The sequence below is a fragment of the Homo sapiens genome, chromosome 9, assembly GCF_000001405.40.
Source record: "Homo sapiens chromosome 9, GRCh38.p14 Primary Assembly".
Lineage (NCBI taxonomy): Eukaryota > Metazoa > Chordata > Mammalia > Primates > Hominidae > Homo > Homo sapiens.
Genome location: NC_000009.12, coordinates 65,048,125 through 65,061,010, shown reverse-complemented (window position 1 = coordinate 65,061,010; position 12,886 = coordinate 65,048,125).

The following is a 12,886-nucleotide window of genomic DNA, read 5'->3' as shown; positions in this document are numbered from 1 at the left end:
AGTTTCAACTCTGTTAGTGGAGTACACACATTCTAAACAAGTTTCTGAGAATGCTTCTGTCTAGTTTTTATGGGAAGATATTTCCTTTTTCACCATAGGCGTCAAAGCGCTCCAAATGTTCACTTCCAGATACTACAGAAAGAGTGTTACAAACCTGCTCTATGAAAGGGAATGTTCAACTCTTTGACTTGAATGCAGACATCACAAAGCAGTTTCTGAGAATGCTTCTGTCTAGATTTTATATGAAGATATTCCCGTTTCCAAAGAAATCGTTAAAACTATCCAAATATCCACTTGCAGATTCCACAAAAAGACTGTTTCCAAACTGATCTATCAATAGAAAGGTTCAACTCTGTTAGTTGAGTACACACATCACAAACAAGTTTCTGAGAATGCTTCCTTCTAATTTTTATGGGAAGATATTTCCTTTTTCACCGTAGGCCTCAATGCACTCTAAATGTCAACTTCCACATACTACAAAAAGAGTGTTTCAAACCTGCTCTATGGAAGGGAATGTTCAACTCTGTGACTTGAATGCTGACATCTCAAAGAAGTTTCTGAGAATGCTGCTGTCTACTTTTGATATGAAGATATTCCCGTTTCCAACGAAATCCTCAAGGCTATACAAATATCCACTTGCAGATTCCACAAAAAGAGTGTTTCAAAACTGCTCTATCAAAAGAAACGTTCAACTCTGTTAGTTGGGTACACACATCACATACAAGTTTCTAAGAATGCTTCTGTCTAGTTTTTATGGGAAGATATTTACTTTTTCACCATAGGCCAAAAAGCGCTCTAAAAGTCCACTTCCAGATACTACAAAAAGAGTGTTTCAAACCTGCTCTGTAAAAGGGAGTGTTTAACTCTCTGACTTGAATGCAAACATCACAAAGTAGTTTCTTAGAATGCTGCTGTCTACTTTCTATAGTAACATATACCCTTTTCCAACAAAATCCTCAAAGCTGTCCAAATATCCACTTGCAGATTCCACAAAAACAGTGTTTCAATACTGCTCTACCAATAGAAAGGTTCAGCTCTGTTGGTTGAGTACACACATCGTAAACAAGTCTCTGAGAATGTTTCTATCTAGTTTTCATTGGAAGATATTTCCTTTTTCACCATAGGCCTCAAAGCGCTCAAAATGTCCACTTCCAGATACTACAAAAAAAGTGTTTCAAACCTGCTCTATGTAAGAGAATGTTCAACTCTATGACTTGAATGAAAACATCACAAGGAAGTTTCTCAGAATTCTTCTGTCTAGATTTTTTATGAAGATATTCCGGCTTCCAACGAAATCCTCAAAGCTATTCAAATATCCACTTGCAAATTCCATGAGAAGAGTTTTTCAAAACTGCTATATCGAAACAAAGTTAAACTCTGTTAGTTGAGGAAACACAGTATAAATAAGTTTCTGAGAGAGCTTCTATCTATTTTTATGGGAAGATATTTCCTTTTTCACCATAGGCGTCAAAGCGCTGCAAATGTCCACTTCCAGATACTACAAAAAGAGTGCTTCAAACCTTTTCTATGAAAGGGATTGTTCACCTCTGTGACTTGAATTCAAACATCATAAAGGGGTTTCTGAGAATGCTTCTGTCTAGATTTTATATGAAGATATTCCCGTTTCCAACGAAATCCTCAAAACTATACAAATATCCACTTGCAGATTCCACAAAAAGAGTGTTTCAAAACTACTGTATCAATAGAAAGGTTCAACTCTGTTAGTTGAATATACACATCATAAACAAGTTTCTTAGAATGCTTCTGTCTAGTTTTTATGGGACGATATTTCCTTTTTCATCATAGGACTCAAAGAGCTCCAAATGTCCACTTCCGGATACTACAAAAAGGGTATTTTAAACCTGCTCTATGAAAGTGAATGTTCAACTCTGTGACTTGAATGCAAACATCACAAAGAACTTTCTGAGAATGCTTCTGTCTAGATTTTATATGAAGTTTTTTCTGTTTCCAACAAAATCCTCAAAGCTATCCAAATATCCACTTGGAGATTCTACAAATGGAGTGTTTCCAAACTGCTGTATCAAAAGAAAGGGTCAACTCTGGTAGTTGAGGACACACATCACAAATAAGTTTCTCAGAATGCTTCTGTCTAGTTTTTATGGGAAGATATTTCCTTTTTCACCATAGGCCTCAAAGCGCTCCAAACGTCCACTTCCAGACACTACAAAAAGAGTGTTTCAAACCTGCTCTATGAAAGAGAATGTTCAACTCTGTGACGTGAATGCGAACATCACAAAGGTGTTTCTCAGAATGTTTCTGTCTAGATTTTCTAAGAAGACATTACCATTTCCAAAGAAATTCCTCAAAGCTATCCAAATATCCACTTGCAGATTCTACAAAAACAGTGTTTCAAAGGCGTTCTATCAAAAGAAAGGTTCAACTCCGTTAGTTGAGTACACATATCACAAACATGATTCTGAGAATGCTTCTGTCTAGTGTTTATGGGAAGATATTTCTTTTTTCACCATAGGCCTGAAAGCGCTCTAAATATCCACTTCCAGATTCTACAAAAAGAGTGTTTCAAATCTGCTCTATGAAAGGGAATGTTCAACTCTATGGCTTGAATGTCTACATCACAAAGAGTTTTCTCAGAATGCTTCTGTGTAGATTTCATACGAAGATATTCCTGTTTCCATCGAAATCCTCAAAGCTATCCAAATATCCACTTTCAGATTCTACAAAAAGAGTGTTTCAAAACTGCTCTATCAAAAGAAATGTTCAACTCTCCTAGTTGAGTACACACATCCTAAACAAGTTTCTGAGAAAGCTTCCATCTAGTTTTTATGGGAAGATATTTCATTTCTCACCATAGGCCTCAAAGCGCTCCAAATGTTCAGTTCCAGATTCTACAAAATCAGTGTTTCAAACCTTCTCTGTGAAAGGGAATTTTCAACTCTGAGACTTGAATGGAAACATCACAGAGATGTTTCTGAGACGGCTTCTGTCCAGATTTTAGAGGAAGATATTCCCGTTTCCAACGAAATCCTCAAAGCTATCCAAATATACACTTGCAGACTCTACAAAAAGAGTGTTTCAAAACTGCTCTATCAAAAAATGGTTCAACTCTGTTAATTGATTACACACATCTCAAACTAGTTTCTGAGAATGCTTCTGTGTAGTTTTTATGGGAAGATATTTCCTTTTTCACCATAGGCCACAAATCGCTCAAAATGTCCAGTTCCAGATACTACAAATCAGTGTTTCAAACCTGGCCTATGAAAGGGAATGTTCAACTCTGTGACTTCAATGCCAACATGACAAAAAAGTTTCTCAGAATGCTTCTATTTAGATTTCATATGAAGATAATCCCGTTTCCAATGAAATCCACAAAGTTATCTAAATATCAACTAGCAGATTCTATAAAAAGGTTGTTTCAAAACTGATCTATCAAAAGAAAGGTTCAACTCTCTTAATTGAGTACACACATCCTAAACAAGTTTCTGAGAATACTTCTACCTTGTTTTTATGGGAAGATACTTCCTTTCTCACCATAGGCATCAAAGCACTCCAAATGTCCGGTTCCAGATACTAAAAAATCAGTGTTTCAAACCTGCTCAATGAAAGGGAATGTTCAACTCTGTGACTTGAATGGAAACATCACAGAGATGTTTCTGAGAATGCTTCCGTCTAGATTGTATATGAAGATATTCCCGTTTCCAACGAAATCCTCAAACCTATCCAAATATTCACAGATTCTAGAAAAAGAGTTTTTCAAAACTGCTCTATGAAAAGAAAGGTTCAACTCTGTTAGTTGAGTGCACACATCACAAACAAGTTTCTAAGAATGCTTCTGTGTAGTTTTTATGGGAAGATATTTCCTTTTTCACCATAGGCCACAAGGCGCTCTGATGTCCAGTTCCAGATACTACAAAATCAGTGTTTCAAACCTGCTCTATGAAAGCGAATGTTCAACTCTTTGATTTGAAAGCAAACATCACCGAGATGCTTCTGACAATGCTTCTGTCTAGATTTTATATGAAGATATTCCGGTTTCCAACGAAATCTTCAAAGCTATCCAATTATCCACTTGCAGATACTACAAAAAGAGTGTTTCAAAACTGCTCTATCAAAAGAAAGGTTCTACTCTCTTAGTTGAGTACACGCATCACAAACAAGATTATGAGAATGCTTCTGTCTAGTTTTTAAGGGAATATATTTATTTTTTCACCATAGTACCCATAGAGTGTTTCAAACCTGTTCTATGAAAGGGATTGTTCTACTCTGTGACTTGAATGCAAACATCCCAAAGACGTTTCTGAGAATGCTTCTGTCTAGATTTTATATGAAGATATTCCCGTTTCCAATGAAATCCTGAAAGCTATCCAAATATCCACTTTCAGATTTTACAAAAAGAGCGTTTCAAAACTGCTCTATGAAAAGAAAGCTTCAACTCTGTTAGTTGAGTACATACATCACAAACTAGTTTCTGAGAATGCTTCTGTCTAGTCTTTATCGGAAGATATTTCCTTTTTCACCATAGGCCACAAAGTACTCCAAATGTCCACTTCCAGATACTACAAAACCAGTGTTTCAATCCTGCTCTATGAAAGGGAATGTTCAACTCTTTGACTTGAATGCAAACATCACAGAAATGTTTCTGAGAATGCTTCTGTCTAGATTTTATAGGAAGATAATCCCGTTTCCAACGAAATCCTCAAAGCTATACAAATATCCAATTGCAGATTCTACAAAAAGAGTGTTTCCAAACTGCTGTATCAAAAGACAGGTTGTACTCTGTTAGTTGAGGACACGCATCACAAAGTAGTTTCTGAGAATTCTTCTGCCTAATTTTTATTGGAAGATATTTCCTTTTTCACCATAGGCCTCAAAGCGATCCAATTGTCCAGTTCCAGATACGACAAAAAGAGTGTTTCAAACCTGCTCGATGAAAGGGAATGTTCAACTCTGTTACTTGAATGCAAACATTCCAACGATGTTTCTGAGAATGCCTCTGTCTAGATTTTATATGGAGATATTCCCGTTTCCAGCGAAATCCTCAAAGCTGTCCAAATATCCACTTGCAGACTCTACAAAAACAGTGTTTCAAAACTGCTCTATCAAAAGAAAGGTTGAACTCTGTTAGTTGAGTACACTCATCCTAAGCAAGTTTCTGAGAATGCTTCTATCTAGTTTTTATGGGAAGATATTTCCTTTCTCGCCATAGGCCTCAAAGTGCTCCAAATGTCCAGTGGCAGATACTTCAAAATCAGTGTTTGAAACCTGCTCTATGAAAGGGAATGTTCGACCCTGTGACTTGAATGCAAACATCACACAGATGTTTCTGAGAATGCTTCTGTGTAGATTTTATATGAAGGTATTCCCGTATCCAACGAAATCGTTAGAGCTATCCAAATATCCACTTGCAGATTCTACAAAAAGACTGTTTCATAACTGCTCTATCAAAAGAAAGGTTCAATACTGTTAGTTGAGTACACAAGTAACAAACAAGTTTATGAGAATGCTTCTGTCTAGTTTTTGTGGAAAGATGTTTCCTTTTTCAGCATAGACTTCAAAGCGATCCAGATGTGAACTTCCAGATACTACAAAGAGTGTTTCAAACTTGCTCTATGAAAAGAAATGTTCAACTCTGAGACTTGAATGCAAACATCCAAAAATGTTTCTGAGAATCCTTCTGTCTAGATTTTATATGAAGGTATTCCCGTTTCCAACGAAATCCTCAAAGTTGTCAAATATCCACTTGCTGATTCTACAAAAAGAGTGTTTCAAAACTACTCTATCAACAGAAAGTTTCACCTCTGTTAGTTGAGTACACACATCCTAAACAAGTTTCTGAGAATGCTTCTGTCTAGTTTTTAGGGAAGATATTTCCTTTCTCATCATAGGCCTCAAAACGCTCAACATGTGCACTTCCAGATACTACAAAAAGAGTGTTTCAAACCCGCGCTATGAAAGGGAATGTTCAACTCTGTGACTTGAATGCAAACATCCCAAAGATGTTTCTGAGAATGCTTCGATCTAGATTTTATAGGAAGATATACCCGTTTCCAACCAAATCCTCAAAGCTAACCAAATATCCACTTGCAGATTCTACGAAAAGAGTGTTTCAAAACTGCTCTATGAAAAGATAGGTTCAACCCTGTTAGTTGAGTGCACACATCACAAACTACTGTCCGAGAATGCTTCTGTCTAGTTTTTATTGAAAGATATTTCCATTTTCACCATAGGCCACAAAGTGATCCAATTATACACTTCCAGATACTACAAAATCAGTGTTTCAAACCTGTTCTATGAAAAGAAATTTTCAACTCTGTGACTTGAATGCAAACATCACAAAGAAGTTTCTGATAATGCTTCTGTCTAGATTTTATATGAAGATATTCCCGTTTCCAACGAAATTCTCAAAGCTATCCAAATATCCACTTGCAGATTCTTCAAAAAGAGTGTTTCAAAACTGCTCTATCAAAAGAAAGGTTCAACTCTGTGAGTTGAGTACACACATCACATACTACTTTCTGAGAATGCTTCTGTCTAGTTTTTATGTGAAGATACTTCCTTTTTCACCATAGGCCACAAAGTGCTCCAAATGTCCAGTTCCAGATACTACAAAATCAGTATTTCAAACCTGCTCTATGAAAGAGAATGTTCAATTCTGTGACTTGAATGCAAACTTCACAGAGATGTTTCTGAGAATGCTTCTGTCTACAATTTAAGTGAAGATATTCCCGTTTCCAACGAAATCCTCAAAGCTATCCAAATATCCCCTTGCAGATTCTACAAAAAGAGTGTTTCAAAACTGCTCTAAGAAAAGAAAGGTTCAACTCTGTTAGTTGAGTACACACATCACAAACAATTTTCTGAGAATGCTTCTGTCTAGTTTTTATGGGAAGATATTTCCTTTTTCACCAAAGGCCTCAAAGCGCTCCAAATGTCTAGTTACAGATACTACAAAATCAGTGTTTCAAACGTGCTCTATCAAAGGGAATGTTCATCTCTGTGACTTGAATGTAAACATCACAGAGATGTTTCTGAGAATGCTTCTGTCTAGATTTTATATGAAGATATTACTGTTTCCAACGAAATCCACAAAGCTATCCAAATATCCACTTGCAGATTCTACAAAAAGAGTGTTTCAAAACTGCTCTATCAAAAGAAAGGTTCAACTTTGTTAGTTGAGTACACACATAACAAACTAGTTTCTGAGAATGCTTCTGTCTAGTTTTTATGGGAATATATTTCCTTTTCCACCATAGGCCTCAAAGGGATCCGAATGTCCACTTCCAGATACTACAAAAAGAGTGTTTCAAACCTGCTCTATGAAAATGAATGTTCAACTCTGTGAGATGAATGCCAGCATCAAGAAGAAGTTTCTGAGTATGTTTCTGTCTAGTTTCTAAGTGAAGATATTCCCGTTTCCAACAAACCGTTAAAGCTATCCAAATATCCACTTGCAGATTCTATAAAAACTGAGTTTCAAAACCGCTCTGTAAAAAGAAAATTTAAACTCTGAGAGTTGGGTACACACATCGCAAAATAGTTTCTGAGAGTTCTTCTGTCTAGTTTTTATGGGAAGATATTTCCTTTTACACCGTAGGCCTCAAAGCGTTCCAATTTACCACTTACACATTCTACAAAAAAAGAGTTTCAAAACTGCTCTATGAAAAGGAATGCTCAACTCTGTCAGTTGAATGCAAACATCACAGGGAAGTTTCTGAGAATGCTCCTGTCTAGTTCTTATGTGAAGATATACCTGTTTCCAGAGTAGGCCTCAAAGCTGTCCAAATATCCACTTGCAAATTCTACAAAAGATAGTTTCCAATCTGCTCTATCAAAAGAATGTTTCAACTTTTTGAGTTGAATGCACACATCACAAGGAAGTTTCTGAGAATTCTTCTGTCTAGTTTTTATTGGAAGATATTTCCTTTTTCAGCATATGCCTCAAAGAGCTCCAAGTTTCCACTTACAAATTCTTCAAAAAGAGTGTTTCAAAACTGCTCTATGAAAAGGAATGTTCAACTCTGTGAGTTGAATATAAGCATCACAAAAAAATTTCTGAGGATGCTTCTATCTAGTTTTTATGTGAAGACATTCCCGTTTCCAACGAAAGCCTCAAAGCTACCTAAATATCCACTTGCAGATTCTACAAAAAGAGTGTTTCCAAACTGCTGTATCAAAAGAAAGGTTCAACTCCGTGAGTTGAGTACACACATAACAAAGAAGTTTCTGAGAATGCTTTTGTCTAGTTTTTATGTGAAGATATTTCCTTCTTCACCATAGGCCTCAAATCGCTCCAAATGTCCACTTCCAGATACTACAAAAAATGTGTTTCAAAACTGCTCTATGTAAGCGAATTTTCAAATCTGTGAGTTGAATGCAAACATCACAAAGAAGTTCCTGAGAATGCTTCTGTCTAGTTTTTATGTGAAGGCATTCCCGTTTCCTACGAAATCCTCAAAGCTATCCAAATATCCACTTGCAGTTTCTACAAAAAGAGTGTTTCAAAACTGCTCTTTCAAAAGAAAAGTTCAACTGTGTGAGTTGGGTACACACCTCACAAAGAAGTTTCTGTGAATTCTTATGTCTATTTTGTATGGGAAGATATTTTCTTTTTTATCATAGACCTCAAAGCCCTCCAAAGTTCCACTTACATATTCTACAAAAAAAGTGTTTCAAAACTGGTCTGTGAAAAAAAATGTTCACTTCTGTGAGTTGAATTCATGCATCACAAAGAAGTTTCTGACAATGCTTCTTTGTAATTTTTATGTGAAGATATACCCGTTTCCAGCAAAGGCCTCCAATCTGTCCAAATATCCACTTCCAAAATCTACAAAAAGATTGTTTCCAATCTGCTCTATCAAAAGAAAATTTCAACTCTGTGAGTTGAATGCACACATCACAAAAAAGTTTCTGAGAATGCTTCTGTCTAGTTTTTTGTGAAGATATTCCCATTTCCAAAGAAATCCTCAATGCTGTCTTAGTATCTACTTGTAAATTCTACAAGAAAAGTGTTACAAAACTGCTGAATCTAAGGAAAGGTCTCACTCTGTGAGTTGAGTACACACATCACAAAGTAGTTTCTGAGAATGCTTCTGTCTACTTTTTATGTGAAGATATTTCTTTTTTCACCATAGGTCTCAAATCGCTCCAAATATCCACTTGCAGATTCCTCAAAAAGAGTGTTTCAAAACTCCTCTATGAATAGGAATTTTCAACTCTGTGAGATGAATGCAAGCATCACAAATAAGTTTCTGAGAATGCTTCTCTCTAGTTTTTATGTGAAGATATTCCCGTTTCCAACGAAATCCTCAAAGCCATCCAAATATCCACTTGCACACTCTCCAAAGGAGTGTTTCAAAACTGCTCTATCAAAAGAAAAGTTCAAGTCTGTGAGTTGAATACACACATCACAAGGAAGTATCTGAGAATTGTTCTGTCTAGTTTTTATTGGAAGATGTTTCCTTTTTCAGCATATGCATCAAAGAGCTCCAAGTTTCCACTTACAGATTCTTCAAAAAGAGTGTTTCAAAACTGCTCTATGAAAAGGAATGTTCAACTCTGTGAGTTGAATACAAGCATCACAAAAAAGTTTCTGAGAATGTTTCTGTCTAGTTTTTATGTGAAGACATTCCCGTTTCCAACGAAAGCCTCAAAGCTATCGAAGTATCCACTTGCAGATTATACTAAAAGAGTGTTTCAAAACTGCAGTATCAACAGAAAGGTTCAACTCTTTGAGTTGGGTACACAAATCACAGAGAAGTTTCTGAGAATGCTTCTGTGTACTTTTTATGTGAATATATTTCCTTTTTCAGCATAGGCCTCAAAGTGCTCCAAATGTCCGTTTCCAGGTACTACAAAAAGAGTGTTTCAAAACTGCTCTATGAAAGGGAAAGTTCAACTCTGTGAGTTGAATGCAAACATCCTGAAGAAGTTTCTGAGAATGCTTCTGACTATTTTTTATGTGAAGATATTCCCGTTTCCAACAAAATCCACAAAGCTATCCAAATATCCACTAGCAGATTCTACAAAAAGAGTGTTTCAAAACTTATCTCTCAAAAGAAAAGTTCAACTCTGTGAGTTGAGTACACACATCACAGAGAAGTTTCTGAGAATTCTTCTGTCTAGTTTTTACGGGAAGATATTTCCTTTTTCACCATGGGCCTCAAAGCGCTCCAAATGTTCACTTCCAGATATTACAAAAACAGTGTTTCAAAACTGCTCTATGATAGGGAATGTTCAACTCTCTGAATTGAATACAAACATCACAAAGAAGTTTCTGAGAAATGTTCTATCGAGTTTTAGTGTGAAGATATTTCCGTTTCCAACAAAAGGCACAAAGCGTGCCAAATGTGCACTTGCAGATTCCACAAAAAGAGTGTTTCAAAACTGCTCTAACAAAAGAAAGGTTCAAATATGTGAGTTGAGTGCACACTTCACAAATAAGTTTCTGAGAATGCTTCTGTCCTAGTTTTTATGTTATTTCGTGTTTCACAATAGACCACAAAGCGCACCAAATGTCCACTTGCAGATTCTACAAACAGAGTGTTTCAAAACTGCTGTATCAAAAGAAAGGTTCAACTCTGTGAGTTGAATGCACACATCACAAAGATGTTTCTGATAATGATTCTGTCTAGTTTTTATGTGGAGATATTCCCGTTTCGAACGAAGGCCTCAAAGTGCTACAAATGACAACTTGCAGATTCTGCAAAAAGAGTGTTTCAAAACTGCTCTATGAAAATAAATGTTCAACTCTGAGAGTTGAATGCAAACATCACAAAGAAGTTTCTGAGAATGCTTCTGTCTGGTTTTTATGTGAAGCTATTACCGTTTCCAACGAAAGCCTCAAAGATGTCCTAATATCCACTTGTGAATTCTACAAGAAGAGTGTTTCAAAAGTGCTCTTTCAAAGGAAAGGTTTAACACTGTGAGTTGAGTACACACATCACAAAGCAGTTTCTTAGCATGCTTCTGTCTAGTTTTTATGTGAAGATATTTCCTTTTTCACCATAGGCCTCAAAGCGCTCCAAATGTCCACTTCCAGATACTGCAAAAAGAGTGTTACAAAACTGCTCTATGAAAGGGAATGTTCAACTCTGTGAGTTGAATGCAAACATCAAAAAGAAGTTTCTGAGAACGCTTCTGTCTAGTTTTTATGTGAAGATATTCCCGTTTCGAACGAAGGCCACAAAGCGCTCCAAATGTCCACCTGCAGATTCCAGAAAAAGAGTGTTTCAAATCTCCTCTATCAAAAAAATGGTTAAACTCTGTGAGTTGAGTGCACACATCACAAAGAAGTTTCTGTGAATTCTTGTGTGTAATTTTTATGGGAAGATATTTCCTTTTTCACGATACACCTCAAAGAGCTCCAAACGTCCACTTGCAGATACTACAAAAAGTGTGTTTCAAAACTGCCCTATGGAAAGGAATGTTCAACTCCGTGAGTTGAATGCAATCATCAAAAACAACTTTCTGAGTATGCTTCTGTCTAGTTTTTATGTGAAGATATTCCCGTTTCCAGCGAAGGCCTCAAAGCTGTCCAAATATCCACTTGCAAATTCTACAAAAAGAGTTTTTCAAATCTGCTCTATCAAAAGAAAGGTTCAACTCCGTGAGTTGAATGCACACATCACAAAGAATTTTCTTAGAATGCTTTTGTTTAGTTATTATGAGAAGATATTCCCGTTTCCAATGAAAGACTCAAAGTAGTCCAAATATCCACTTGTAAATGCTTCAAAAAGAGTGATTGAAAACTGTGCTATGAAAATAAAGAATCACCTCTGTGAGTTGAGTACACACATAACAAAGAAGTTTCTGAGAATGCTTCTGTCTAGTTTTTATGTTAAGATATTTCCTTTTTCACCATAGGCCTCAAAGCACACAAAATGTCCACTTGCTGATTCTACAAAGAGAGTGTTTCAAAACTTCTCTAGAAAAGAACGGTTCAACTCTGTGAGTTGAATGCACACATCAGAAAGGTTTTTCTGATAATGTTTCTGTCTAGTTTTTATGTGAAGATAGTCCCGTTTTGAACGAAGGCCTCAAAGCACTCCAAATGAACACTTGCAGATCCTACAAAAAGAGTGTTTCAAAACTGCTCTATGAAAGGGAATTTTCAACTCTGTGAGTTGAATGAAAACATCAAAAAGAAGTTTCTGAGAATGCTTCTGTCTAGTTTTTAATGTGAGGATATTCCCGTTTCCACGGAAATCCTCAAAGCTATCCAAATATCCACTTGCAGATACTACAAAAAGATTGTTTCAAAATTGGTCTATCAAAATAAAGTTCAACTCTGTGAATTGAGTACACACATCACAAAGAAGTCTCTGATAACTCTTCTGACTAGTTTTTATGTGAAGATATTTCCTTCTTCACCATAGGCCTCAAATCGCTCCAAATGTCCACTTCCAGATACTACAAAAAGTGTGTTTCAAAACTGCTCTATGTAAGCGAATTTTCAAATCTGTGAGTTGAATGCAAACATCACAAAGAAGTTTCTGAGAATGCTTCTGTCTAGTTTTTATGTGAAGGCATTCCCGTTTCCTACGAAATCCTCAAAGCTATCCAAATATCCACTTGCAGATTCTACAAAAAGAGTGTTTCAAAACTGCTCTATCAAAAGAAAAGTTCAACTCTGTGAGTTGAGTACACACCTCACAAAGAAGTTTCTGAGAATTTTTATGTCTATTTTTATGGGAAGGTATTTCCTTTTTTATCATAGACCTCAAAGCCCTCCAAGATTCCACTTACACATTCTACAAAAAAAGTGTTTCAAAACTGCTCTATGAAAAGGAATGTTCAATTCTGTGAGTTGAATGGAAGCATCACAAAGAAGTTTCTGACAATGCTTCTGTGTGGTTTTTATGTGAAGATATACCCGTTTCCAGCAAAGGCCTCCAATCTGTCCAAATAT